The sequence below is a fragment of the Homo sapiens genome, chromosome 16 (genome assembly GCF_000001405.40).
Source record: "Homo sapiens chromosome 16, GRCh38.p14 Primary Assembly".
Taxonomy (NCBI): domain Eukaryota; kingdom Metazoa; phylum Chordata; class Mammalia; order Primates; family Hominidae; genus Homo; species Homo sapiens.
The window spans coordinates 1,528,486-1,556,286 of record NC_000016.10 but is presented as its reverse complement, the minus strand read 5'-3'; the positions used below and the strand labels follow the sequence as shown (position 1 = coordinate 1,556,286).

At 57.8% G+C, this 27,801-nt stretch overlaps 2 protein-coding genes across 28 annotated transcripts in view, besides 4 other annotated features; one reads left to right on the top strand and one right to left on the bottom strand.

Annotated features, from left to right (window-relative positions):
• The window catches only part of IFT140 (intraflagellar transport 140), a 101,646-nt gene that overhangs the window by 55,786 nt on the left and 18,059 nt on the right, over positions 1-27,801 (top strand). For 5 of the 26 annotated variants that reach the window (XM_005255726.5, XM_047434978.1, XM_047434977.1 and 2 more), the window contains one exon: positions 2,247-3,343. The exons of 11 other annotated variants lie outside the window; for them this stretch is intronic. In XM_005255726.5, the coding sequence (XP_005255783.1) occupies positions 2,247-2,253 (7 nt within the window). In that variant the 3' untranslated portion in view covers positions 2,254-3,343. Of the gene's footprint in view, positions 1-68; positions 942-2,246; positions 3,344-14,768; positions 15,304-15,545; positions 19,685-24,139; positions 27,379-27,801 lie in introns of those variants that run through there. 10 more of the 26 variants (XM_011522771.4, XM_047434975.1, XM_047434974.1 and 7 more) reach the window with 6 other exon arrangements.
• Positions 674-1,173: an enhancer, noted in NCBI's record as "H3K4me1 hESC enhancer chr16:1605115-1605614 (GRCh37/hg19 assembly coordinates)". NCBI's record gives its function as "activates a minimal SCP1, AML or CMV promoter by ChIP-STARR-seq in primed H9 embryonic stem cells {active_cell/tissue: H9 hESC(primed)}" and the evidence as "EXISTENCE:reporter gene assay evidence [ECO:0000049][PMID:30033119]".
• On the bottom strand, positions 719-27,609 carry TMEM204 (transmembrane protein 204). Of its 2 annotated transcripts, NM_001256541.2 has the most exons (4): positions 27,491-27,609; positions 21,732-22,353; positions 14,211-14,366; positions 719-1,505 (listed from the first exon to the last, which is right to left on the bottom strand). In NM_001256541.2, exons 2-4 carry the CDS (start codon positions 22,009-22,011, stop codon positions 1,261-1,263), a joined length of 681 nt encoding a protein of 226 aa, NP_001243470.1. In that variant the 5' UTR covers positions 22,012-22,353; positions 27,491-27,609; the 3' UTR covers positions 719-1,260. The 2 variants fall into 2 exon arrangements, with proteins under 2 accessions (NP_001243470.1, NP_078876.2); NM_024600.6 differs by lacking the exon at positions 27,491-27,609 and having other exon boundaries at positions 21,732-22,621.
• Positions 13,164-13,866: an enhancer, noted in NCBI's record as "H3K4me1 hESC enhancer chr16:1592422-1593124 (GRCh37/hg19 assembly coordinates)". NCBI's record gives its function as "activates a minimal SCP1, AML or CMV promoter by ChIP-STARR-seq in primed H9 embryonic stem cells {active_cell/tissue: H9 hESC(primed)}" and the evidence as "EXISTENCE:reporter gene assay evidence [ECO:0000049][PMID:30033119]".
• Positions 21,888-22,591: an enhancer, noted in NCBI's record as "H3K27ac-H3K4me1 hESC enhancer chr16:1583697-1584400 (GRCh37/hg19 assembly coordinates)". NCBI's record gives its function as "activates a minimal SCP1, AML or CMV promoter by ChIP-STARR-seq in naive H9 embryonic stem cells {active_cell/tissue: H9 hESC(naive)}" and the evidence as "EXISTENCE:reporter gene assay evidence [ECO:0000049][PMID:30033119]".
• Positions 22,592-23,295: an enhancer, noted in NCBI's record as "H3K27ac-H3K4me1 hESC enhancer chr16:1582993-1583696 (GRCh37/hg19 assembly coordinates)". NCBI's record gives its function as "activates a minimal SCP1, AML or CMV promoter by ChIP-STARR-seq in naive H9 embryonic stem cells {active_cell/tissue: H9 hESC(naive)}" and the evidence as "EXISTENCE:reporter gene assay evidence [ECO:0000049][PMID:30033119]".

The following is a 27,801-nucleotide window of genomic DNA, read 5'->3' as shown; positions in this document are numbered from 1 at the left end:
CCTCAGATGTAGATGTTAGATGTTTTCTGCCCAACTCAAGGACTTACAGCTTGTTCCTCTCTTAACAGATTTAGGACACGGGGTTGTTTGGACCCAGTGCAGCATCATGCAGGAATTTTGTAGCCCACCAAGCATTTCGCTAAAGATAGGCTGAAGGTTTTTTGTTTTTGTTTTTTGTTTTGAGACGGAGTCTTGCTCTGTCACCCAGGCTGGAGTGCAATGGCACAATCTCGGCTCACTGCAACCTCCACCTCCCGGATTCAAGCAATTTTCCTGCCTCAGCCTCCCGAGCAGCTGGGACTACAGGCACCCGCCACCACGCCTGGCTAATTTTTTTTTGGATTTTTAGTAGAGACAGGGTTTCACTATGTTGGCCAGGCTGCTCTCGAACTCCTGACCTCATGATCTGCCCGCCTCAGCCTCCCAAAGTGCTGGGATTACAGGTGTGAGCCATCGCGCACAGGCTGACTGAAGGTTTTTAAGCAAATAGACCTCATCCCTTTTATTCTACTAGTTGTTGATCAGAGAGTCTGTAAGGACTTGGGCTTCTGAGACTTGGTTGAACAGAAGTGTGGATAAGAGTGTGTATGCCTACGGGGTCTCTGAAAAGGTCTTTTTGACCCTTAGTGTGAGCCCCCAAAAAATCACAAAAAAGTGGATCAAATGTTTTTCAGCCATGTCGCAGTATAGATGGATAGAACACAAGTTATAGACAGAGTTCAGAGGCTTGCATTTATTTAACTTAGGAAAAGAATCGAGCAAAACAGACACGAACACGATTCTGTCTGAAACCATCACTAACCGGCTATAGATTCTGACTCACTCAAGGAATATTGTGGATATTTTAAGAAAATTTTCCTGGTTTTCTGCTTTACCAAAGTGTAAGATATGGCTGGGGTGCCCCTCTCAGCAGATGCAGAATAAATTAATCCCAAAGCAAAGCGGAGCGCAGGGCAGCCTCGCGCCACCTAACCTGTGTCTCAGCTTCCAGCTTCCACCCTGAAGTGCGTGTGGTCGTGGAGCCGCGTTGCGCTAACCAGGAAAGCTGGAGGCAGAACGAGGTTGGCCCACGACACGTACAGACATATGACCGACATAACAGTAAACGCACACGTGTCTCGCACGCATGGCGCAGAGGTCACCCAGACTCATCCCGTGCCTCTGCACGAGCAGGGGAAGTGACTTGGTGGTGGAGTCCCTTGGTTTCTAGGCTGTTCCACGATAGCAGGTGTGCGTTGATGGAGCGCTGAGAAGGGCGACTCAGCATGGTGACTCCACGTAGTCATTGTCCAGCCCACGGCGAAAGCGCGCTGTCAGGGAGCGGCTGATGACAATCACCCGGGGGGCCATGCAGTCCTCCCTCTTGTGGAGAATGTTCCAGATGAGCATGGCTGCCGCCAGCGTGGCCAGAAGGCAGGCGCCAATGTTCAGGTAGCAGGACCAGGACAGGTTGGTGTATGGGCCAATTCTGTAGAAAGTCACGAGCCCGATGACCAGGACAAAACCTGCAGATGAGAGAAGGGTTGAGAGGCCTTGTCTGAGAGGAAGGCGGGTTCCACTCCTTCCCCAGCCCTCTGTCCTAGAGCAGGTTCCAGCCTGCTTTATCCTTCCCCAGCCCTCTGTCCTAGAGCGGGTTCCAGCCTGCTTTATCCTTCCCCAGCCCTCTGTCCTAGAGCGGGTTCCTGCTTTACGGGGCGGCTGCCCTGGTGTTGAGCCACCTTGTATTAGCCCTTCTGTGGCTCTTAGGACTTCAGGCTCTGGCGGCTGTGGAGGGGTGGTATGTGTCTGCTTAATTCTGTCCTGGCGTGCTGCTCCTGGGACCTGGCCAGGCGGCAGGCCTTTTCTTCAGGTCAGCACTGATGCTTGCAACACCAACTTGGGGGGGCCTTTCCTAGCCCCCCAGACTCAGCAGTAATTTTGTGTTAAATCCATCTCTGACTTTTGTAAATGCTTAATTCATTCAAAGAAAAGACTTTTCTAAGTCTTATCTGGAAACAGGTCAGTTTGGTGCTCATCGCGCCCAGAGCTATGCTTCTGACAGTTTTCTTGCTCTTGGCCTTTGCTTTGGGAACTCCAGATGGCCTGGAGTCTGCAGCTCAGGCAGGGCGGAGATGGGGCCAGGGCCTTGTCTAGGGCTCCTTGGCTATATCTGGTGTCTTCCCTCACTTCCGAGTCAGTGCTTCTCGTTCTAGACCCTCCCTCCTCCCTGGCAGATTTTCCTTCCATGCTTTCCCCTCTCTTTCCAGAGCCTGAAACCAGAGAAGGAGAGGTGGGCCGTGAGCAACCCTTGGTTGGCGCAGCTTGTTCCCGTCTAGTTAGTCGCTGATGCTACAGTTTCACTTACAGTTTTATCTTTGAGGAGCTCCAAAGACCTTTTTAGTTCTTACAACAGGAAAATCAGGGTTTCGTGACTAGAGTCTACCAACTAGGATAACAGGACACTGTGGCCGCAGCGATGGAGCCGGGCGTCCTAATCCAGCTGGAAACATAGGCTCTAGGATGGAGGAGAGGCTGTCCACATGGCCCTGCCCCTCCTCATCCCCTACAGCCATGGGGATGTGGCCACAGATTGTCCTGGAGGCCATGGGGCCTCCAGCCAGCCTTCAGCCCCAGCCCCGCTTCTGCCCACCCAGCACCCCTCCCTCTCTGTTACAGTAACCTGAGTGAGTCTGTTTCTTGTACCCAAAGTGCCAGAGACTCTCTGTAACTTACACTGGTCCAGATTAAACTCTCCAGCCCCTCTTGTCCATAGAGGACTTGTCCATGTCCCTCCCCAGGCTCCGGCCACGCCGAGCCCCACTGCTGTCCCTCCGCCTGGCCTGCATGTTGACACCTGTGCGTCTGTTCATGCCGGTCTCTCCACTCCCAACCGCCTCCCCTGCATTCCCCAGGAAACCAAATCATGCCCTGCCCTGTGTGGCCCCAGCATCGAGAGAGGATGGGAGAAAAAGAGACACAGGGACAGAGACACAGAGACAGAGACACAGAGAGACAGGCAGAGACACAGAGAGACAGAGACCAAGAGAGATACAGAGAGACAGAGACAGACACAGAGACAGATGGAGACAGAGAGAGACAGAGACAGAGACACAGGGAAGGAGAGACAGAGAGCAAGAGATGGGTAACCAGCCTTGTTTTTCCTAAAAACCCAAGCATTATCTTTTCATCATCACTGTACCCTCCAGAAAGTATGAATTAAGCATTTATCTATCTCCATTTTGTCCTGAACAATGACAGTGACTGGTTTCTGTGTTCATTCTTTATAATACTTCATGGAGCTTCTTATACATGGGTAGCTCCTGGATACTTCTGTTTTATTAAAAATAACATTCTAGACAAGGCACAGTGGTTTACGCCTATAATCGCAGCACTTTGGGAGGCTGAGGCGGGTGGATCACGAGGTCACGAGTTCAAGACCAGCCTGGCCAAGATGGTGAAACCCTATCTCTACTAAAAATACAAAAAAAAAAAATTAGTGAGGTGTGGTGGCAGGCACCTGTAATCCCAGTTACTCAGGAGACTGAAGCAGAGAATTGCTTGAACCCAAGAGGCGGAGGTTGCAGTGAGCCGAGATCACGCCACTGCACTCCAGCCTTGGCGACAGAGCGAGACTCCATTTCAAAAAAAAAAAAAAAAAAGCATTCTCTTTGTAATGAATACTAACAAAGGAAACTTCTGGCATTTCTACCAGTGCGGAATGTGCCCTCTGCTCACGATTGTGTGGTATCGATGCTTGTGTTACTGGGGTGAAGGAATGAGCCTGTGTTGTGTGTGAGGAAAATGAGGGCACTTTGAACAGCGTCCACTCATGTTTACGGGGTCTGGCACTTTCTGCCGGTGGGGTGTGGGTTGTGCTGGTGTCAGGGCTCAGAGGAGGTGGTCCTGGAGGCAGGGCAGGCACAGCGGAGAGCTCAGGACACCCGAGACAGAGGCGAGCGGGAGGGGTGGGGCGCTCTTGGCAGGGACAGTGGGAGCCTTGGGGAGAGTCCCAGCCCAGCAGGGGGGCGATGCAAGCCCTGAGACCCTCGAGGGCGGGAGGAGGTTATACCGGCAGTAACTGGCCTTCATCAGGCTCCAGCCCGCCATGGCCACAGCCTGTTTCTCCCCCTCACCAGGCTTCCTTTCTACTTGCGGGTGTTACAGAAACGTGTTTAAAATCTCAGGGGGCCTCTAGTTCCACACATCATTCATCCGAATGGAACAGTGGAAAGGGATTGTGCCCCCCATGGCTTCCAGGGTCAACCTCCCTCACGGTCTGCGGTTGCCGTGGGGGTCAGTTTCCACACATAGGGGACCTGGAGGTACCGTCATTGCAGGGGGACAGCGCGGGCCACACGTCACCAGGGAGAGGCCCCGGGGACATCACCAGGGACACACCCGGGAGGCTTCTGAGTGCACAGCTCGGATTTACAGTGGCTTTCTAGGAAAACCTCGGGAAGAAAACTCTAAGGCAACACAGGGCAACCAGCCCGGGTGGGAGGTCCCGCAGAGTTGATCTTGCCGGATCTGCCGGACCACGCACGTGTGGTGTGGCCTCCTTTGTATAGGTAGCTCCCAACAAAACCCCGTAGAAGACTGAAGTGCCGCTGATCTTAGGCTCTTCCGTGAACAAGCATGTCCTGAAGTTGGGTTCGACAGTGAGGAATGTGCTGGACGTTTCAAGGTGTCTGCAGCAGTGCCGGGTGACCTTGCTGGGGATACTGATGCAGGCGGCCCTCCCTCCACCGCTGCACCCTGATCTGTATGAAACTCACATCCTGTCTCCCCAGCACTCAGCACCCTTGTGGCTCCCATCGCCTTAGGGTCTCCCCTGCTACCTGCGGCCGCCCTTCTGCCACCCTGGGGCCCAGTGGCCCTTTCCACCCCTCTCAGTCACTGGGTCCACCTACTCTGGGCTTCTCCTCGTGCCACTGTCCCCGGCTTGACTGGCCCTGGGGAGGAGGGGCCCCTCCTGCTGCTGATCCTTCGGGCCTCGGCTTAGAGTTGCACCTGCCCACCCCTGCCAGCCGTGGTCATTGTGTCTTTACCCATGGGTGGCTCTGGCCGCTCTCCCCCGCCACAGGGCAGGCTCCCCGGGGCCAGAACTTGCCCCACCATTGACCACAGCTTCCCAGAAGTCTCTCCGCAATTACTTTTTGAGTTAATCGTTTGAGGAGACCAAAGTAGACGTGAAACAGAACAGAATGCAGTGTGGAGCTGCGGGAAAGGCGAGGAGGAACAGCAGCCTTGGCAGTTGAGTGACCAGGACCCCTCAAAGGGACAGAGCCCTTTGGCCAGATCACGTAGATGCCGCTACCCTGGTGCCCTCGAATGCTCACGGAGGGGCAGCACGATTCCCAAGGACCCACTGGCATCGGCTACGTGGCCCTGTACTCAACAGGCCTGTTCAGCCTCCACTGGCACGCCGGGGACCACGCTAGGGTCAGCGTCAGCCACAGAGACGGCTAGGGCGCTCTTGACTTTCCTTGGGGAACTGGCATTCCTCTTAGAGAGATGGGGAAGTCATTAATCTCTGTGTCCCCAGAGGGTGGCATTTGGCAGGGCCTTGCCCTATGTGGAGGGTCAAGCTTGCAGGGAAGGCTCTCCAGACTCTAAATTAAAAGTGGGAAGGCTAAACCATGGAGCAAAGCACAGAGCGGGTAGGCAGAACTGAGCCCGGCCTCCTGCCCTGAGGCAGCCTGCCGGGTGCCCTAGCAGTGTGGAGCCACCCCAGCCCTGAGACGCTGGGTCCCTCGAGGCCCACCTGGAAAGCCCCTCTGCCTGCCTGGCACTGGCCAGCATCACACGCTGCTTCCTGAACTGTTGTTTTATTGTTATTTATTTTCTTAAGTGCTTTTTGTAACAAAGGAGTTTTACTTATTTTCTTAAGATCAGTGTCATAGCTTTTGAAAATGCGTCGTTTAGAGCATTAGAATGGGTCGACCATTCTAATCCAGACATGACCTCCCTGTGCATGGTTGGCTGTGTTGCTTGCCATAAACACGAGCTCAGGCCTCAGAGCATCTGTCTGCTTCCAAGAACACTGTTTCTAAATATAGAAGACGAAGGGGCTGGGGCGGTGGCTCAAGCCTGTAATCCCAGCACTTTGGAAGGCCAAGGTGGACAGATTGCTTGAGCCCGGGAGTTTGAGACCAGCCTGGGCAACATAGTGAAACCCTGCCTCTACAAAAAAGTACAAATAATTAGCTGGGCGTGGTGGTGCACACCTGTAGCCTCAGCTATTCAGGAGGCTGAGCCCAGGAGGTCGAGTCTGCAGTAAGCCGTGATTGCACCATTGCACTCAGCCTGGGCGACAAAAAAGAGAAGAAGAAAAAGAAAAAAAGACTCAGAATGTAGATAAACTGATTAAAGAAGTATGAGTTCACATGTCCACACGCAACCTGGACATGGGCCCTACATCCTAAAAGTGTGAGTGGAAAAGTAATCAAGGTGGCAGATCAGGTGTAAACAGCAAGCCTAACAGGCAGGGACCGTCACAAAGCAGGAGGGAACAGGGCAGGCCAACCCTGAGTCATGAGTCTAGAAAGCTGTGTCTTTGAAAATCTAGCAACAAGTGGCCAGGCGTGGTGGCTCATGCCTGTAATCCCAGCACTTTGGGAGGCCGAGGCAGGTGGATCACCTGAGGTCAGGAGTTTGAGACCAGCCTGGCCAACATGGGGAAACCCCATCTCTACTAAAGGTACAAAAATTAGCCGGGCGTGGTGGCGGGCACCTGTAATCCCAGCTACTGAAGAGCCTGAGGCAGGAGAATTTCTTGAACCCGGGAGGCAGAGCTTGCGGCGGTGAGCCGAGATTGCACGCCATTGCCCTCCAGCCTGGGCAACAAGAGCGAAAGCCAGTCTCAAAAAACAAAGAAAGAAAGAAAAGCACCTGGGGTGCGTCTGGAGCCGCGTTCTGGGAGCCGCGCTTCACTCGCTGGTGGTACAGCTCCAAGGCTGGAGCTTACTTGGCATTTTTGTTGCCACAGAAGCAGATGGGAAAATTCTAGGTCTGTACCTTGTGTGAAAAAAGGCTAAGTAAAATTTTGCATTTACGTGACTTCTGTGTGGAGAGCAGCGTCGGCTTTTGTTTGTCTTTGGTTCTGTTTGGAGCACAACTAGGGTAGAGAGGGGTTTGGAAGGTTAGGACAGCGCCCTCGGACGCCAGTGAGACCCAGAGGCGCCACCAGGCCCTGAACCTCATGAACCTGCGCGGCCCTAGGCATGCGGTGAAAACGGGACGTTGCCCTCGTCCTAGCACCAGAGCAGGCAGGGGCACCGCTGCTGGAGAGCGCCAGGTGGCTCCTGCGGAGGACGGTGGCCCAGATCCTACCCTGACGAAGAAAGGTTCACGTCGTGAACAGATGCCTGGCATGAGGGAACCTTCCGTGTGTTCCACCTGTCAGCAGTAAAAAGCCAACAAATACACGGAAATGCAGAGGCGCCTGTAGCTACATGCCTCGCTGTGCTGCTCTAACCTTGGCCTCCAGACGCGCGTAAGAAGGTGACTGAGTCAGCTGCATGATCGCACTGCGCTGTGGATGCCGTTCTGAAGCCTTTTACTTCTGTCCTTCCCACCTTCCCTACGTGGGGGAGATGGGAAGGGGTGGAAGGAGACAGGGCTGGGGCTGGCCCTAAACCTTTGAGTTTTCCATTCTCCCACCATCTTTATATTAAGATTCCCTCTCTCCTCATTGTCCTGTTTCCTGAAGACTTTTCTCCCAAAACTTCAATCATGTTCATCAGTTTGTCTAGAAACAAATGTAAGGGAAGAGTTTTAGCAAACACGAAATTCTGCCCATGGAATCAATTCCATTTCATGAAGTTGTGTTGCCAAAGCAAACAACCTCTTCCTGTGAGCCGCCCGGACAGTGTGAATTACAGCTCTGCAGCCCAGCCAGCCCTTTCCCCTCTCCTTTCCTTCCTGCGGCTTCTTGGGGCTTCAGCTTCTGTCACAGGCCTTCCTTTTGGAATGGCTGTCACACATGCACACAGGTGGCAGAGTGGAAAGACCCCAGGGCTGACCCCTGATGCTCTTCGTACAGCTGCAGAGCTAGCAAACTGGGTGCAACTGGCTCTAAAGAGAATCTATGCGGAGCAGACGGCCCCCTGGCCACCTCAAGTCCCTGCTGGGGCTGGCATTTCCCACCTGTGAGCAACAAGATGACGGTGACCCAAACAATCCTCTCTAGAGGGAGAGGCCCTGGGAGGGAAGAGCGAGAGGCTCCGAAGCTCTCAACAGCCAAAGTTGGAAGGGAAAGAAGAGACGAAGGGACATAAACTGATGCCTGGGGAGTGGGTACCAAAGACAGGCAAGCGAGCTATCCAGACCAGGCTGATTGCAGTGGCCCACACCTTCATCCTAGCACTTTGAGAGGCTGAAGCGGGAGGATCACTTGAGCCCAGGAGTGTGAGACCAGCCTGGGCAACGTGGCAAGACCCCATCTATGCTTTAAGAAATAAATAGATGATTTGCCAGGCACAGTGACTCACGCCTGTAATCCCAGCGCTGTGGGAGGCCAAGGTGGGTGGATCACCTGAGGTCAGAAGCTTGAGACCAGCCTGGCCAACATGGTGAAACCCCATCTCTACCAAAAATACAAAAATTAGCTGGGCATGGTGGCTCATGCCTGTAGTCCAGCTACTCGGGAGGCTGAGGCAGGAGAATCACTTGAACCTGGGAGGCGGAACTTATATTGAACCCAGATTGCACCACTGCACTCCAGGCTGGGTATCGGAGTGAGACCCTATCTCGAATAAATAAATAATCCAGACCAAGCAAAGAACCGGGTTATTGTAAATAACAAAAAAGTGTATATTTCCACGAGACGATTCCCAAGTCTAAGAGAACAGCAGACTTTCTCACCAGCGAGCAAGATTCCATGTCAGTGAGTATCAACCCTGCTGGCCATTTAAGGACTGATAAAGTCAGCGTCTCCAGGAAAACCTAAATGCCATTTTGAAGGCAGTTCAGAATAAAACACGAAGAGCGGACTTCTACAAGTCAGCTTCTCAGTGTGTCACGGGGCATCGGGACGGACCAGTGCCATCCATGGTGCCCTTTCTAGTGTCCTTCTGGTGCCCCGATGTCATGTCCAGGGAATTTTGGGTTATATGCCACCATTTTCCAAAAAGGATTGGAAGTCATTTATACAAATTACAAGGTAATGGGGAGTGGGAAAGAGGGACTGTTTCAAGGAAGAAGCAGGCGAGAAGCCTTCGGCATCATGCCCACCTCTCTGGCACCAAAACAAGGGGAAACCCAGCTAAGCCCAGCATACTTATAGCAAAGATGCCACAGGTCCCCACACGGATGCAGAGAGTGTCATGTGAGCACCGACTGGGGGACGGCGGGGACTTCACTGGCTTGACCCCATTGCATGGCCACGACCTCCTCATGCTAGCCCAAGTAAGACAGCACAGCTGCCCTGGGGCTCCAGCAACAGCTGAGGAGTTGCCCATTGAAGATATGACTCAACCCAAGTACAGAGCTCTGCAGGGCTGCTGGATCAAACCACCGAAAAGTGTTCTCTTCAGGCCGGGCTCAGGACAGCAGACCCTGAGGCCCGGGCCCTGTGTGAAAGCCAGAGCTGCGGGCGGGAGGGCCCTGCTCCATGAACGGATCCTGGCAGTGTTCTTGCCAAGAGGACAGTTTGCGCCCCCGAGGGAGACAGGCCTAGGTGGGGAGCACAGGTGCTGCACCAGGGAGCACGTGGGATGCGCCTCGGGCCTGAAGCTTCTCAGCATGCATGTTACCCAGCAGGGCTTCAGAGAGACGCTGGAATAACAGCTGCGAGCATTGCTGACGAGGGCACATCTGTGCGCTGGAGTGGTCACTCTCCACTGCACAGATCACACCAGGGGAAGGGGGGCTCGTCCAGGCACTCACAGCTGACCAGGGGCAGAGCCAGGAGCAGAACCCAGGCCACCTGCTCTGGGCTCCTGCAGAACCAGCCAGCGATCCAGCTGGGAAACACCTGAGGGCTCGGAGCATCCTCAGGCACCGGAGAGTGCCAGGGAGCCTCCCGGCCTAGGCTGCCTGCAGAAGTCGCCCTCAGCCTTGTGCCACTCAGGCGTCAGGTGCCAGGGTCATGCTGTGGCTGCAGCCATCAGAGGCTGTAATGACCTTTTACCTTCCATTGGCAACTTGCCCTGACCCCCTTCAATACTCCTTTCCCTCTCTGCCCGTGCCTATCTGCACAAATCAACAAGACCACAGACTGTGAAAGAACAGAGGTGCAGTGCAGAGAAAAGAGGCCACGAGGAGGAGAGGGGAGAAGCTAGGGGTCTGTGGAGTGAGCAGAATGCAAGCTCTGAATAGAATGCCAAGGGCAGCGGCAGCCAAGCCAGGACAGTGGGGTCCCCGCACATTTCAGCTGCTCTCTCTGGGTGTCAGAGCAGGGAAGAGGGAGCCTTGAGGGGCGAGGAGGGTGGTCCCTTTGCAGACCCAGACGTCGTGCTGAGCATGGCACTGAGCCCAGAAACATTCATGGAGCGAGAGCAAAAGCACAGGCCCCATCGCCTCTCTTTGGAGCTGACAAGGAGCCTTCCTTTCAGTGTGCTGCACTCTGGCTTTCCAGGGTATTCCAGCCTCCCCATAATTCCATGTACTTTTCCTCCTTTCATGAGCATCTTCTCTCCCCACTGCCCACCCCACCTCTGCCGAGCCCTGGGATCGAGGTTCACTTGCATAACAGGTAATAGCAGGCGTTTCCTTGTCCTGTGACAGGACATCCTGGCGCCCTTCAGTCTCTCCCTGACTGTTTAAAACAGACGCGAGTACAGGAAAAAAAACCCGACTCTAAAATTAGCAACATGATAGAAGAAAGGCACATAGCTACTTTCTGTCCTGTTTGTCAATGAAACAAGTCTAAACAGGGCCAAAATGCATTTCCTTTTTGGGCAAAACAGACCCGTTAGGGGTGATGGTTGGACACTGAGGGGGAGAGGTGGCCTGTGGGGGCAAGAAAAGCCACCGAGACACCAGGGGCCCTCTTGGTGCTGCTGGCCCTCGCCCTGGTGCCTGCCGTTCTGGCGGTTGTTGAACAGAGCCTGGTCCAACCTTGTCAGAGGTCGTGTTGGAGCACAGTCCCGCCCCCGCCACCATCCCTCCTGACCAGGACAGGCCTCCGAAGGCCTCCAGCCCTGTCCCCCGGGAATGCTGTAAGACAGCTCGGTTTAGTCCATCAGGGTGCTCGCCCCCATGTGTGATTTTTTAAAATACATTTAGAAACACTATCTTGTCCTGAAATAAGATTTTGCAGGAAGTAAGCTGTCATTTTCGACATGCCAAATCCACAGTAGTCCTAATAATTCTAAACAAGAGTTTCAAGGAGATTTATTAAGAAATGCAGTGATCTGGGCCGGGTGCCGTGGCTCACGCTTGTAATCCCAGCACTTTGGGAGGCCGAGGCGGGCGGATCACAAGGTCAGGAGATCGAGACCATCCTGGCTAACACGGTGAAACCCCGTCTCTACTAAAAATACAAAAAATTAGCCAGGCGTGGTGGCGGGTGCCTGTAGTCCCAGCTACTCGGGAGGCTGAGGCAGGAGAATGGCGTGAACCCGGGAGGCGGAGCTTGCAGTGAGCCGAGATCGCGCCACTGCACTCCAGCCTGGGCCACAGGGCGAGACTCCATCTCAAAAAAAGAAAAAAAAGAAAAAGAAATGCAGTGATCCAGCTGGGCGCAGTAGCACACGTTTGTAATTCCAGCACTTTGGGAGGCTGAGGTGGGTGGATCACCTGAGATCAGGAGTTCGAGACCAGCTGGACCAACATGGTGAAACCCCGTCTCTACTAAAAACACAAAAATTAGTGGGGCGTGGCCAGGCGCGGTGGCTCACGCCTATAATCCTAGCACTTTGGGAGGCCAAGGTGGGCGGATCACGAGGTCAGGAGATCGAGACCATCCTGGCGAACATAGTGAAACCCCATCTCTACTAAAAATACAAAAAAAATTAGCCGGGCATGGTGGCGGGCGCCTGTAGTCCCAGCTGCTCAGGAGGCTGAGGCAGGAGAATGGCGTGAACCCGGGAGGTGGAGCTTGCAGTGAGCCGAGATTGTGCCACGGCACTCCAGCCTGGGTGACAGAGTGAGACTTCGTCTCAAAAAAAAAAAAAAAAATTAGTGGGGCGTGGTGGCAGGTGCCTGCAATCCCACCTACACGGGAGGCTGAGGCAGGAGAATCGCTTGAACCCAGGAGGCAGAGGTTGCAGTGAGCCGAGATTGCGCCACTGCACTCCAGCATGGGTGACAGAGCAAGACTCCATCTCAAAAAAAAAAAAAAAAGAAATGTAGTGATCCATTGGGTTATCTTACAGAAGGAGTTATTTTCAGAATCAAAAACTATTGCTTTTGCTTTCTCTATGCCGCTAAAATATCTTTATTCTGACCCAGCATTTCCAATTACATTTTCAAAATCTTCCATTTCCTTCTTTAAGCCACGGCATTTCCGATTCCTGCACGCGGTAGAGATTGGCCATTTCAGTGAGACAGGAAAACCACTTCTCTGTTTTATGGCCCTCGGGTCAGCAGAGGGCCCCGTGGGAGCTTTCCTAGCCTGGGTACCTCGTTGAGAGTCTCATGTTTTCCCTGCAGTCATGCAGGAGGGGAGGAGGCGGAGTCAGTCCTAGGTCCCACATCCCTGTCTCATTCGTTCTTACAGTCAGTTGGGTGGGGGCAGAAATTACCCTTTTCGAAGTTGGGCATGCAGAGGCTCACGTTAGTTTAGTCATCTGCCTGACCCCACGTCGATGGTGATGGAGCCAAGACACAGCTCCAGTTCCAGGCTCCACGCCCTGTGCTCTTCCACTGAAGCCTCGAGGCCCCTCCCTTCCCGCCCCTACCCGCCAGGGGAAGTGACTTGCCCAGGGCCACGCCATGCTATTAATAGCGCTCAGAGAGCCCGGCCTGACTCGCTCAGGGCACTTTCCAGCACAGGAATACCTGCCCCCACAGTCTGTCAGCCTCCTTCTGGAAATTGTATTTCTTAAGAAAGATAAGGGCCCAGGATCATTATTCCTAGAATGATTCACTCTGGACTTCCTGCCACTTCCTCTGTGGGAACTGCAGGGCAACCTGCAGAACGCTGCACCGGCCTCGAGGAGGAGAAGGAGGGTGCGGGCAGCTCCGTGCTGGTCATGCTCAGCCATGGGCCGACATGCTCGCTTTCTCTGTGTCCCTGTCTCTGCGGGCACCGGGCTGACCTGTCCCAGTGAGCAGCAGGAGACCTGAGCCTGCCCCAGATGCCCACAGTCTTCAAACCTCTCAGTCAGCCACAGAAGACCAGCAGAGCCCCCTGGGGTCGCTGGGGGTCATGGCTGGACACTGCTGTGGCTCAAGCACTTGTCTAGAACACCGCAGGACCCTTCCATAGGTCGTTGACGACAACTCCATCACTGTCACCCTCTATGACGCCAGGTCTTCTCAAGACCTGTCCCAGGTTGCTGGGTCTAGAGCGTTGAGAGGAGGCTCTGAGCACCAATGGCCCCTCGCCTGCAAGGCCGGGCCTCCTCCCCAACTCACATGGCGGCTTGGGGAAGCCAGGGCCTCGTGATGGTCCTGCCGTCTGCATCAGTGTCCGAGCCAGGCACACAGCATGTGCTCGTGCAGGCACCTCACTGTCGGCTCAGGCAGTGTGGAACGTGCTAGCGTGTTCTCACTCTGTCTTGTCCCGCTCACGGAAAGGGCCTGCGCTGACCCCAGGCTGACCCCAGGCAGGTCCTAGGAAGCTGCGTTTATAACAGAGCACATGCCTTGGCCTTCCTAGGCCTGACCTGTTCTAGGCCTCTTAGCTGGGAAGGTCAGGGCCAGGCATGGGCTCTTCTGCCTCTGCCCAGGGGCTGCTCCCCACCAGCTGCCTCAGCATTGAGGAAGGGGCAGGACCCAGGCTGCCCCATGTGGACTGCACAAGGGCCAGTCAGCAATCAGACCCCACAGACTCAGGAAAGCAAAGTGCCTCAGCCTTTAAAGTGGAAAAGGGTGTGACAGACACGCCAGGTGGTCGCAGCCTCCCTGCTCCTTGGCCTGGGTGTGTTTCTGTCTTTCATCATTCTTGCCTACAGCAAGAGGGAGGGAGGATGCCCCATGGGGCTTCTCAGTGGCCTGTGGCCATGTTGAGAGGTATGGCCTGCAGCTTCCCCCCAGGCCACCCAAGGCCTCAGGACCCTCCTGTGGCACCAGAAGGCCACAGGGGGCAAGGGCGCGGTGGCCACACCCGCCCAGGTACTTACTCGCCAGTTGGAATGCAGCGGCCATGGCCTCCTCCCAGCACGGGGCGTCGGGTGACAGCAGGGGCAGGCCCACCAGCCCCAGGAGGAAGGTGAGCTGGCCTGCGGTGAGCGCGGCCGTGGCCACCAGGTTGCAGGCGCGCATCATGTCGAACTGCACTGTGGGCCAAGAGCAGAGAGGCAGTGGTGAGTGCAGGTGGGCTCCAGAGGCCACGCCAGCCGTCACGCCACTTTCGTGGTCTCTGTTTGCCTCGGAAAGGGCGGTCGGCACAGGCTGTGCCTCCATTGGGCAGTGGCTTCGGGAAGCATCACGCCCTCCCCCTCACCTGCCTGCAAGCCCTGGGTCCCATGTCTTCCTGATGGGAAGGGTTCATCCCAGCCGCCGGGCCTGGCTGCAGTGGTCGTATCCCTGCAGGGACGGGCCCTACTCTGCTATTTCTGTCTTCCTGAGACAGCTGTTCCTCTCTGCCTGACTTGACCCTTGAAGGCGCTGGCGTGGGGGTGGAGGTGGGAAGGGGAAGCCCACCAGCAACACCGGCTTCCCTGTCACTGAATTCACAGCATCCAAGACGAGGGCGCTGCCTGACCGGAGACTCCGCGGGGGGCCAGCTCCTCAGGCGTGCTGTCCTGCGTGCTCAGCTGCCCGACCCCCAAGCGGCTCATGGTGGTGTTCCCTCCTCCCAGCAGCTGAGGGACTTGGGACCGAGGAGAAGCAGCTCATCTGGGCCCCTCATAACCAGCAAGGGGCTGAGCAGGGGTCAGACATGGGTCTGAACCAGTGCCCCCCACCTGCCCCCCTCACCTCCTGGGGCCCCGTCACCCCATCTGCCACAAATCTTTCACTCAGTGGCTTAAGTCAGGGCCTGCTTCCCCACTCACAGCAGGCCTGTGCCCAGCCTTCTCTGTCCCCCACCTACACCTGGTTGCAGGAGCCAGGTGGGCAGGGCACATGGATGCGTGGTCAGGGGCAGATGGAGCCTTCTGTGAGTGAACTTCAGAGGGAGGTGCGTTTGTTGCCCTCAGGGACCAGGGCTCGTCACGTTTCTGTAGCAGAGAAATGTTCTCCCGCAAATAAAACCTTACACAGGGGCCCAAATGAGGTGGTGGTGAAGCAGTGTGTTCCCAGGCCCCTGCACGCTGCAGAGCAGACAATGTGTGTGCTGACAGACACTCAGCCTGGAGTCAGGGACTGCATGTGAAGCAACAGCCCCACAGAGTCCCTAGCCTGTCATCGCCATGCCTTGTTTTCTATTGAACAATATTTGGGAAATTCGATTCCCAAAACTAAGTCGTTATAAACAGTTGCACCTTTTTAAATGACTTGCCTTGAAATTTCAGGGCACTCTTCAGGTAACTGATGCAGGAATCTAAGAGGGAAGCAGCCTCACCACTCAGGAGCGGGTCCCCGCGCCCGCATCCATCACAGACACCAGAATCCAGGCTCAGGAGCAGGTCCCTGTGCCCGCATTCATCACAGACACCAGAATCCAGGGAGCAGCAGAATGTCCCAAGAGCCCTGAAGGTGCTGGCCTCTAGGGTGACTGCTGTGTGTCCTGGGTGGAGGCCGAGAGGGGATGGGGAGATCCTCAAGCTGCCTCCTCAGAGCACGCCTGTGGGAAGCCAGCCCAGCAGGGGAAGCTGTCGAGGTTCACGCGTGCACGGGGCAGGCACGCTGGCATCAAGGCTCAGGGGTGGTGGGGGATGCGGGCTGCTTTACTTCGTGAGTGTTTACGTGGTTAGAAGTATCCGTTGGAACCACTATTGCCAGTATTAGCAATTCCACACGGTTCAACCTCAACATTTATTGAAATGCAATCTGGATTCACAGAATAACCTCAAAGCTCTGGAGCCGAGGCATCTGCTTCCCACCTGGCCCTTGGGCTGGGTGCTGCTCCAGCGCTCACATCTGCCCCGGCCCCAGGCTGAGGTGGTGTGTGGGATCGTCTCAGTCTAGGCTTTCGGCGTCCCAGCATCCCTGGAGGCACACTGCTCCTCGCCACTGAGGGTCCCCCCGCCGTCCTACCCACTGTATTTCAAGCTGCTTCCCTCCACAGCGTCCCCTCCTGTCACTCGGGGCGGAGGGAGCTCTCCTTCCTGGATGCCAGGCTTTTCCACTGTGCCCGCTCCGGCCTGGGTGGCGCCCCCAGCCCTGAGACCTCCAGGGTGTGAGGGCAGTGCGCAGAGAGTGGAGGCATGAAGGACCCTGGGGCACGGGGTCCCCGGGCTGCTGAGGAGTCTGAGCAGCCAGCACATGGCACCATGAGCCTTCCGCTGGCAAGGGGGAGAGCGGAGCACGCTGCCTGCCCGCAGACAGGCAGGCACCACTGACAGGGCCATGGGAAGCGGCAGCAGCTGCCCCTCGCTCATTTTTCTCGCAGCAAAACAGACACCCCAGTGAGCGTCACTGCCACGTAACTGAGAGCTCACGTTCCTTCATCTCCAAAGTAACTGCAGAGTTAGAAACCATAGCGCTCCCGCGAGGTTCTCTCTAAAGAAGGAACAGAAGACGCGGGGGCTGAGAGCCAGCCTGGTGGCCAAGGGGTTCCCGTACGGACAGCGGGAAAGCCTGGCAGCAGGTGAGGACCTGGCTCAGCATGGGCATAGGTGGCCGTGGGGCCAGAGTGCTTGGAGGAAGGGGCAGAGCCCAGGGCACTGGAAATGCCAGAGGACAGCAGAGATGTGCTTGACCTCAGCCTGGCACCGTGCAACTTGCTGAGGCCTAAGGCGTGGGGCGGCATTTGCACCATGTGGCTTGCTGAGGCCCAAGGCATGGGACGTCACTGGCACTGTGCGGCTTGGTGAGGCCCAAGGTGTGGGGTGGCTTGGCACCGTGTGGCTTGGTGAGTCCTGAGGCTTGGGTCGGCGTTGGCACCGTGTGGCTTGGTGAGGCCCAAGGCGTGGGGCGGCGTGGCACTGTGCAGCTTGGTGAGGCCTGAGGCGTGGGGCCGTCTGGCACTCTGCAGCTTGCTGAGGCCTGAGGTGGGGGGCCATCTGGCACTGTGCAGCTTGCTGAGGCCTGAGGCGTGGGGCCATCTGGCACTGTGCAGCTTGCTGAGGCCTGAGGTGGGGGGCCGCGTGGCACCGTGCAGCTTGGTGAGGCCTGAGGTAGGGGGCGCTTTTGCCCTGGGTTTCTCACCTGCCCTAGGGCCTGTGCAGATGGGACCAGCAGGAGCCAGGGTTGAGGCAGACACTGCCCTGGCTGACTGGCAGGACCTTCCTGACTGCTCCAACGGACTCCACAGCCAGCCCCAAGCAGTGACCACGTACAGCCTGCAGGGACCGGAGTGAGGCCTGCATTTTGAGGGCGTCCTGTCCACACATTAGGGACGTGTGTGAGCTCTGGAGGCCCCTTCCAGCAGGATCTGTGGCACGGTGCTGTGCCATCTTTGCTCTTAACTGTCTTGGCAATGACTTCCATTCAGAAGCCTCTGCTTCTCTAAACATTGCAAAATGAGGGAGGCATTAAAACATCACGCAGAAGGTCATGTTCGAGAGAGGAGCAGCTCAGATTCCCTGCCCAGGGCTCTGCGCTCTGCCCTGGAGGGGAGGAAAGACCAGAATGAAGGGGGAGGAGGGATGCAGAGCTGCCCTGGGAGGAGCATAGCCCAGAATGGCATGACCGAGGTGGGCTTGAGCACCAGGCACAGCTGCACGTGTAGTTGTGGTGAGGGTGAGTGACCAAGGTTCCTGGGAGCTGGGAATAAGCAGACGCACCCCTGACCTGTCCTCTCGCCCTCAGCCCTGGCCTCTCAGCCTTCCTTCCTCGCAGCTCCAGGCACACAGCCCTGTGCCACACACCATGGCAGGGGCTCTGTGCAGCAGCCGTGCCCCACAAGCCACTCTGCAGCCTCCAAGTCCCCAGGGTGCATGGCTCACCACAAGGGCACCCACAGACCCACCGCCCTGCCAGGAAGGAGGCACTCCTGCCCGAGCCTTCCTGTCTGAGCCACGCTCCCGCCTGCCCCAAGAAAGCTGTTTGGAGCTGGCGTTCACTGCTTGGGTGTTATACGGGTTCCTGGGGTGCTGCCTGTGTGCGTGGCTCTGCGTGGCTCTGCGTGGCTGTGCGTGGTAGCAGCTGACTTTTAAAGGTGTCGGTGAGAACGTGGTTCAGCTGGGTCCTGGCCGAGCAGGGGGTGAAGCCCGGGAGCTCTGTCCTCCACCTGTATTCAGGCAGGGTCTTACGTGCCCGTTTGATGTGTGGCGGGGCATGCGTGGTGACGGAGCCACGTGGAGCCACCGGAGAGAGGGGTGGGGCTCCCCCTCAGCTAGCGCCAGGCTCTGGCTCGCCTGCCTCGAGATTCAATCACACGGTCATCTGTTCCCAAGCCACCTTGTTTCAGATGCCTGACAGAACGCACGAAATACAGAGAGATGACGTAAATATCCAAAACGAGACGAAGTGAGGAGGAGAAATTGAGACCCCCTCTGGACATGGCATGTGAGGTGGACCTCAGGCCTCCCTGGTCCCCCGAGCTCCTCACAGGGAAAGAGCACCCCTGATCCGTAATGAAAGTCCCACTCACCACAGGCCACAGGACACCCCTGGCAGGGGCACGGGAGGGCCTGAACCTGGATGAAGTCGAGACCGGGCTCCTCTGCCCTGGGTCCAGCCCTCTTTGCCCTGACCAGAGTTCAGGATGTCCGGGGCGCGTCCCCTGTCCCTCAGGCAGGCTCCTGGTGATGTTTGCGAGTGACGAGCGCTGGATGATTTTGACTCCATGTGCCCCATGGGGCAGGGCCTCAGGGCACAGAGCCGTCCGGAGACATCCACGCGGGCCTCAGCGACATCCGGAAACCCCGAGGGTGGCCTGGTGTGCGTGAGGAGGCACGCGGTGTGGCGTTGTCTTCCCTGGCCTGCGTGAGGAGGCACGCGGTGTGACGTTGTCTTCCCTGGCTTGCCCCACCCCGACCCTAGACTGGTTCTCGGGATGGAATTGTGAGCAAACCAGCACCCAGCCTCACAGCACAGACGGTCGCAGCCCATCATACGTGCTGGGTGATTTTACAAGGAACACTGGCCAAGGCAGGAAGGAAGACGCTAGGAGCTGGCTGGACTCAGTGGGGTGGCCAGGCTAGAGCTGCTGCCCCCAGCCAGGGCTGACTCCCAGGCCTGCCTAGGTCACACGGCAGGATTTTGCAGAAAGGTTCATAGGCTAGCTTGATGTGCAGTGGTGGCAGGTAGCAGCCCCTCACCCGATTGGGGACATGGGTGCACGTGAGTGGGGGCAGCGAATGTTGCTGTGGACAGAGGGGCCACCCCGTGGGAGAGCAGCACGTGGGCTTGGAGAGGTGGGCACCAGTGCAGATGGACGTCGGTGAAGGAGAAGGCGAGAGAGGCAGGAGGAAGACACCAGCACGGCCAAGGGAGACTCTGGGCGCGTCCCCGTGTTGGGGCCTTGGGGGATGTGGTGGCTGCACTCCAGCCTGGGTGACAGAGCAAGACTCTGTCTTAAAATAAATTTTAAAATTAAAGAAAAGTTACCCGTTGAGCCTGTTCCTTTTCCTGAGCTGAGTCCCGTTTACAAGGAGCTTCCGTGACGCTTCCCTTGTGTGGACAAACCTTCGCTGCTCAGGTTCACTGAGGGTCAGCCACCTGCAGATGCCATACAAGTTGCAGGAGGATGTTGTAAATATTGTCCAAGGGGCTGACCAGGGCTCAGGGAGGAGCAGTGGACGCAGGCAGGTGAGCAGGAGGCAGTCCAGGGGGCTCTGTGAGGGGCCTCGTGTGTCCTGCTGGCCTGAGGTGAGCAGGCCTAAGCAAGTGGACAGCCGGGCGCCTGGGACGGATGCATAGGTCGTGCCAGAGGCTACACGCGGCCCTGTGACTGGAGGAACGCAAGAGGTAGCAACAGGGAGGGGCGCCAAGGCTTCCAGCTGCCCTGAGATTGGGCTGCCTGGGCCACCTGTGGGTGTTGGTGGCAGCAGTTAGGAGGCCTGGAGGTGCAGAGCTGCGGCCAAGGGCCGGCTGGGAACTCCCTCCCCCGGGGGTGCTCTGTGGGCTGGACGCCAGTGATGGTCCCAAAGCACATGAGCGCCCGGCCCCACCTCCAGGGGCCTAAAGCCGCTGCCCCCGCGAGAGGTTCAGCACAGTAACGGGGCTGCGGCTCCTTCTTCAGCAGAGCAGGCAGAGTCTGGAAGAAGGGCGCCTGGCCGGAGTCACGCGGAGACCCAAGCCTCGGGCTTCCCATAAGACACCGAGTTCTGAGAGCCGGTGGAAGCTTTGAAGTTATTCATAGGCTTTGATCTTTTTAAAAGACGGCTGTTGGTCCCTGCTGGTGAAGGATGCGAGAGGAAGTGCGCAGTCCAGGCTGTGCGGTGCAGCCGAGGGCCTTTGAGTGGACAAGGGGGTTGAATTCCCTCGTGGGACCTTGTCCAAGCCACATGCCTTCTGCAAAGCCTCAGTTTCTTTGCCTGTGAAGTGGGGATGACATTCCCCGCTGAGGGTTCTGAGCGCGGCAGGTTGGGGATGGAGCTGTGTGGTTGAGGCACACGTGATGTGTGTTACCCCAGTACTCCGGGACTCCCTCGGAAGCCTGGAGCAGAGGCACTGCCTCAGAGACCAGCATTATCTTCAGAGCAGAAGGAGCGTCCAACCCCGAGTCTGTGAGGCTCTGCAGCAGAGACTTGGGGTGTCTGCGAGTCAAAACCTTGCTGACAGTTTCAGAGAGTCGGCCTTTGGGAGACCTTGTGTCCCTGTGCCGTGACTGTTGAGATGACCCCATGGGCTGTAAGCGCCTTCCTATTTATGCAGCCTCACACCTGCCACTCAAACCCCACGGTGCGGTGGCATCATTCTGAGCCCCTTCCTCTCCTCTGCAACCACTGAGCATCCCTGTCCCCTTCCGAGCGTCCTGGCCTCCCTGTCTCCTTTCCAGCGTCCCATCTGAAGCTCATCCCTGGGGATCCTGCTGCTGCTCTCTGCCTCAAAGACCCCAACAACCGTGAGAACAAAGCCAGAACTCACCCGTGTATTTTTAAACTTCTTGTTTATTTTACTCATGAGTAAAGAAAGAGCATTTTCATTTTTTTTTTATGTTCAGAGACAGGGTCTCTCGCTATGTAGGCTAGGTTCGTCTTGAACTCTTGGCCTCAAGCAGTCCTCCCGCCTCAGCCTCCCAAAGCGCTAGGATTACAGACGTGAACCACTGCGCCCAGCCGTAATAATTATTTTCAACCAAGGAAAAATGCCTTTCCTTGATTTGATTAATGTACCCATCTCTTAACTATGTGTAACGGCAGAGAGGCCCCCCAAATGCCTGAGATGAATTCCTGTGTAAAAGAGCTGGAGGCAGATTCTGTGCTGAGCAGGAGGAGTGTGTGGGGCCACCACTCACCAGGGAGAGGGGGCCTTGGGGCCTGGTTCCCTGGGAGACACAGTGCCCCCTCCTGCCTGCCCAGAGGCCACGCTCAGGGCAGAGCAGGGGCCAGGCCTCCCCACCCGCTCACCAGGTCCGCGCCTAACATCTCCCATGTGCCCTCGAGCCTCGGCCACGCTGAAGGCATCAGGAAAACAATTGGACTTACGTTTGACGGTGCCTCGGGACTCCTGGAAGCCGGCTGCCTCGGAGCCCCAGCCCAGCGCCTCACAGTCATGTGCGTCCACCTGGCCGGCTCTGGCCCCAGGGCTCGGCCCTCCCCGGGTCCTGTCCACCAGCCAGCAGGACCTCCACAGCCCCACGCTGCGCCTGCGCCCATCCTCCAGCGTCTGGCACACCCAGTTGGAGGTGAAGGCCGCCACGTTGTTGAGGATGAGTGAGACCAGGGCCACCAGCACGGCCGCGGCCACGAGTCTCTGCACGGTCATCGCTGACGCCGGTGCCGCCGCTTATCCGGAGAAAGCCAAGTCCCAGTCCGCGGCCGCACGTCCAGGGAGAGCCGACGCTGCTAGGGGTGGCTAGAGGACATCACCACTCATCCTCGGGGCGGCGCGGGCGGAGGCCCATGGGATGGTCCAGGTGTGCCGCCTCTCGGCCCGGCCTTATCCTCCTTCCTGCACCTGGAGCAGGGCCAGGCCTGTGCTGAAGCTGCTCGCCTCGGGGCCCATCCCAGGGAGCAGAGGGTGGGCAGCAGCAAGAACCCAGGGCCAGGAGTGCGCCGTCTTCCCGGGAAGCGGAGGCCGGCCTGTGCCGCGCGTGCCTCTTCTCGCCTGCAGCAGTGGAAAACAGAGTCACTCGGGAGGCCGGCAGCAGTGGGAGTCGAGCCCGCGCCACACTCCTTAGCACCGGCCTGCTGTGAGTGCCAGGCTCCGGGCAGGGTGGCCGGTGTGGAGCGGGTTCACAGCTCCTCTGTGCTGCCTGGGCCCCTGTGTGGATGCCTCCAGGGCAGTTGGCCGGTCCTGGAAAGCAGAGTGGCTGCTGCAGGGACGCCCGTGTGCGCAGAGCTCGCCTTCCCTGGCTCTCAGCAGAGAGGAAATGGTTGTTTTTGAGACTGTTTTTGGTGAGCTGGAAGGCGTAGCCAACCGCAACAAATAGCGGCCCTGCCGCGGCAGCCAGACACCAACAGGATGTGCTTCCTGATGGGAAAGGCCAGGAGACTTCTGAGGCCCTGCTCCAGGCCCACCTCCTGCCGCCCCTCCCCATCTTCCTGTCCCAGAGGAGAGGCCAGGGATGCCGGGTGCGGGACAGATCCCTCGTCTCGCCTGTTGCTTTTAAGCCTGGTGGCCCCCGGGGCCTGGAGGCTGGTACTGAGCGACTATTGCCTGCCCTGGGGACTTCACACCCCCCAGCCATCCAGTTGCCCCCAGGACCATAGGTACCCCCAGGACCATAGGAACCACAAGCCTCCCCCCGCCCGTGTGTTCCAGGCCTGCCCCCGCCACGGGAATGCTGCCCTCAAAAGGGGGGCAGATATCACAGGATTGCTGGGAAGGGGAGAGACCCGTGTGCCTGGAGGGAGCAAGTTCACCCAGACCTGCAGGGCCAGGGACCTGTACTTGGAGGACCTCGGGGCCAGGGACCTGTACTTGGAGGGCCTTGGGGCCAGGGACCTGTACTTGGAGGACCTCGGGGCCAGGGACCTGTACTTGGAGGACCTCGAGGCCAGGTCATTCTTAGGTGGCAAGAAGGGTAAGATTCTGGATGTGCTGGGTGGGGCTCTCAGCGGGGCCTGGGACAGAGCGAATGTCACGTGGGGCCTGGGCCACCTCTGCTATTGATGGGAACGGTCACCCCCCACAGCTGGGGACAGGACTAGGCAGGTCACCTTGTGAGTGGTCAGGCTCTCGGGCAGAGCTTATGCTGCCAGGGAGCTCAGAAGCATCTTCGTCTATTCTGCTCAGAATTATTCTGCCCAGCTGGGCAGACACCACGAGAGGGTCTCCTACTCTGTCCCATCTCCAGAGACCCGAAACCCAGCATGGGATTCCCAGCCTACCCAGGCTCCAAAGCTTCGTGAATGCAGGTGTCCCACATCCGTGCAAACTGTTCATGGGCACACGCCCAAGACAGTGCTGGGACAGAGAGTCCTGTTCCCAGCCTGTGGTAACAGCAGAGCTTTGACCGTTTCCTGTCCTTGCACTGCCCGTGCTTGGGCCCTGGCTCAGGGCGGTCCCGAGAGCTGCCACTTCCTGGGACCAGTCTCCATTCACACGTTGGCATGTGGCTCTGTATATCCACAGGTGAAGCAAGGTTCCCCACACACGCCCTGTGTCTGTTCCAGAAAGGCAGCAGCTCCGTCCTCACCAGCCCGTGGTGCGTGCTGGGTCCTGAGAAGCGTTTCTCCACTGGCTTCCTGAGGGACGTGCCTGGGGGGGATTTTCCCCGGGGATTTGTCGCAGACGTGTCCGTCAGGTTTCTCCTTTCCCCTCTTCCTTGGCTTGTGCCCAGGGAAAAGCTGCTGTTTCTATTTCTGTTCTCAGCCCCCGGAACCTGACGGGGCGTGCGGGGCACAGTGGTGCTGCCGGCCCCCACTCTCCCGGGTGGCTCGGAAGGCCCTGGGGGGATGTCCCCAGCCCTTCCTGCCTGTGCCCTGCTCCTCGGAGGTGGACGGGGGTGCAGTGTCTCAAACACTCAGTGTTCCTAAGCACACGGTGCAGAAGGGGGCCTTGAAAGGGAAGTCTCCCAAAAGTTTCCATGGGGGAAGAATTTATTTCCTCCTTAATTAACTAAACCATTAATCTTTCGGGAGTCTTCAAATGGCTAACTTCCAACAAAAAGCCAATGCTGGGTTTCAGAGCCCAGAGGACACGTTTGATTGTCTCAGCGGCCCGCTCTGGTCCTTTCCTCAGGTTGAGTGGGGAGGAGGCCACGGCCAGACTCCTACACAGCGGCAGCACCCCCAGAAGTCCTGGTTCGCAGAGGCCAGCATCGGCCTCCACTCTCCTGGCACTTCTGGGGTGCTCCAGGTCCCTGTGCCCTCAGCTGTCACGCCGCTTCTAACCCTGCGCGCTATGGCAGGCTGGGCGCGGGAGGGCGGAAGGCCTGGGAGCAGCATGTAAGTTAAGAGCGACCCTCCTGGGAGGATCTGTGGCTCTCGGGGGGTGACTCCCAGTAAGGGGACTCGCAGCTGGGCGGTGGGCTTCCCCCACAGTGCATCACACCCTCCTGCTCTCCCTGTTGCTTGGGGTCTTGGTCACGGTGGAGTCCCACTGCCCCCTCCCACATATGTGCCTGCGGCTCCCATATACCCAGCAGAGCGGGAGCCCTAGCACAGAACAGGGACACGGAGGGAGGGGGCGGCCTCGGCAAGCATGATCGTCAAGCCGCTGTTCGCCAGCCACCCTCATCCTGACACAGAGTGGTCTCGGCAGAGCTTCTGCAGGACCTTTGAAGGCTGCGTCCCCTGCCGCCCATCTGCTTCTTGTTCCAGTGCCTCGGGGCTGATGAAGTGCAGATGTGGGTGACTCCACAGACTGGCCGGGACAACAGGAAATTCTCAAGACTTGGATGGGAACTAAGAGGGTGTTTACTTCTTGGAATTTATGTCAGATGCACAAACCCCAGAACCCCACACCGGAGTGGAGGCTGTCCCGAGAGCCCTGGCCGGCCGTCGCGGAGAGGATGTGGGAATCACGCGGGGCTGGTGCCCTCGAGCAGGAGGCTGGCTGTGGAAGGAGCTTGCAGAGAGCGCCTGGGTCTGGACGCTTCTGGCGGGTCTGTGACCGCCCTTCCCGTGGGTTCTCCCAGCAGCCTCGGCCTGGCAGGCAGGGGCCTGTAGGAGGGCGTGTCCAGCCTCCACTGGTGGCCGCACATACAGCACATGCTTCTCCAAGGCCCGCATGGTGCAGACTTAATGCCCAGGACAGGGCACATGGAAGTGCGGGCATCTGACGGTGTGCTGGCTGGGTCCTCGGTCACACATGGGCCCCAGGAACCAGAGCAAAACCAGGGCCGGCCTGCGGGCTCTCTCCCGCTCCCCACGGGCGGGCTCTCTCCCGCTCCCCACGGGTGGCCTCCGCGTGGGAGAGACGGGGCGTTCAGAGCACAGGGGAGCCCGTCTGGGACCCAAGTCAGCTGCCACATTCCTGTGCTTGTTTGTGATTTTCCACCGCAATTGGATGTGGACGGAAGGAACCAGTTGTTTTCAGGACAAGGGAGAGGAAAGGAGCCACGCGGGGCAGGTAGAGGCAGGTCCCAGCCCTGTCCAGCCCCACACCTGGGCCTCGGGAGAGGGTGTGCACAATCGGGAGATTTTTTAAAGATTCCAGTTGTGGGCCGGGCGCAGTGGCTCACACCTGTAATCCAAGCACTTTGGGAGACCGAGGCGAGCAGATCACAAGGTCAAGAGATCGAGACCATCCTGGCCAACATGATGAAACCCCATCTCTACTACAAATACAAAAATTAGCTGGGTGTGGTGGCGCATGCCTGTAGTCCCAACTACTCGGGAGGCTGAGGCAGGAGAATCACTCGGGAGGCAGAGGTTGCAGTGAGCCAAGATCGTGCCACCACACTCCAGCCTGGTGACAGAGTGAGACTCTGTCTCAAAAAAAAAAAAAAAAAAAAAAAAGATTCCCGTCGTGAAGTCTTTTGGGACAGGAGAGTAAAAAAGACTGCATGTCTTACAACGTGGTGTTTACGAAGCGGCCATCACGCCTCACGCACTGAGGCCCCAGTGCTGCCACCACCCAGATGTTAGAGAAGTGAGACGTCTGTGAGGAGCCGTGGCATCCCTTCCATCCGATCTGTAGAACTGACTGGAAGCTGTGCAGTGAGGACACAGTGTTTCTTTTGAGATTCAGATGTGACCCCTGCACTGCACTCCACGTGCATCATTTGCTGACGGATGAGGCCCAGCAGCGTTCTGGGGAGCCCTGGACCCCCAGTCTTGAGGCGTGTCTCAGCACGGGGCAGCTGTGTCTGAGCCGTTTATAAACTAGTTTTACACGCATGGGTCCTTCCACGTGGATTTTTACCCAGGACCTCAGCATAAAGGAGAAAGACAAGCCTTGGTTTTCTGCTGTTAGAAAGAAGTTTCATTGTAAAGATGTGACTTCCTGCCTGGAGCTCTAGAGGACCGAGGGCAGCACAGCCTGAGGGGCTGGTGGGCCGGGTGCTCAGGCCTCTCCCTGTGCTGAGTTGGTGGCAAGAGTTCCGAACCCAAAAGACTGAGGAGCGCGAATCGGAGATCAGGACGCTGCGCCTGGGGCACCTCCCTGGGGTCCCATGCACCCGGTGTCACCTTCACCGCAGCGCCGACTGAGCGTCCAGGAAGCTGCCAGTGGGTGCACCCAGGTGCTGTGAGGAGCCCCATGTGAGGCCATCAGAGGACACGCATGCAATGGCAGTGGCAGGGAGGCAGGCTCACTTCCCGGCCCCCCAGACGCTTGGCACCCCCACGAGGGCCTGGCCCGTGGGTTTGGACACACCCTCTCCTGGCTCCAGGCATGACTGTGCCACATGGCAGGGGCTGCCAGGTTGGTTGCTGCTAAGACACATGCACCTGCCCGCCCTGCGTCCCTGGGTGGTGGAATGCGTCCGTGGAATTCACCCGAGTACATGTAAAACCAGGCACAAAGTACCTGCTGGCTTTCGGGAGCGGGCACCTGGGTATGCCGCGTTGCAGCCACAGACACCACCGCAGGGCCCATCCCAGGAACCTGCGTCCAGCCCCTAGACTCAGACACAAGTGCACCGAGCCTGCCCGGGGCTACCATCTCGGAGCCATTGCCCTGTGATTCTGTGGGAGCCAGGGAAGCTGAGATGTGGGCAGCCCACACCTCCCGGAGATGGAGGTACCACCGTGGGACTGGGCTCCCTGGCTGTCCTCCCGAGCCCCTCCTTCTCACAGGGGCAGGGCCGTTAGGAAAACGCCCAGCTGCACGCAGCACAGCTCCGCTCACTCACCGGGACCACGGGCTCGGGGCTCTGTGGGCGGCTGGTCCCTCCAGTCCTCAGAGCGGCCTGTGACCGTGCCAGCGGGGAGGCTGCAGGGCTGCTGCCCTGCTAAGACTGTGGGCTGGACTGAGGCTTATCTGCAGGGAGCAGCCTGGAATGCGAGGGTGGCCCTGGGTGGGGATGCTCCGAGGCCACTTGCAGGGTGTGCTGCCTGTGCTTGTGGGAGTACGTGCGTGCATGTGTGTGCGTGTGTGTGCATGTGCGTGCATGTGCTTGTGTGTGCCTGTGTGTGTGCCTGCATGTGTGTGTATGTGAGTGCA

Coding starts and splice junctions, on each gene's coding strand:
- TMEM204 (NM_001256541.2), bottom strand. CDS start 22,011: ATGACCGTGCAGAGACTCGTGGCCGCGGCCGTGCTGGTGGCCCTGGTC. Junction 14,367..21,731: donor GTCCCGAGGCACCGTCAAAC/GTAAGTCCAATT, acceptor CTTGGCCCACAG/TGCAGTTCGACATGATGCGC. Junction 1,506..14,210: donor CGCTGCATTCCAACTGGCGA/GTAAGTACCTGG, acceptor TCTCATCTGCAG/GTTTTGTCCTGGTCATCGGG.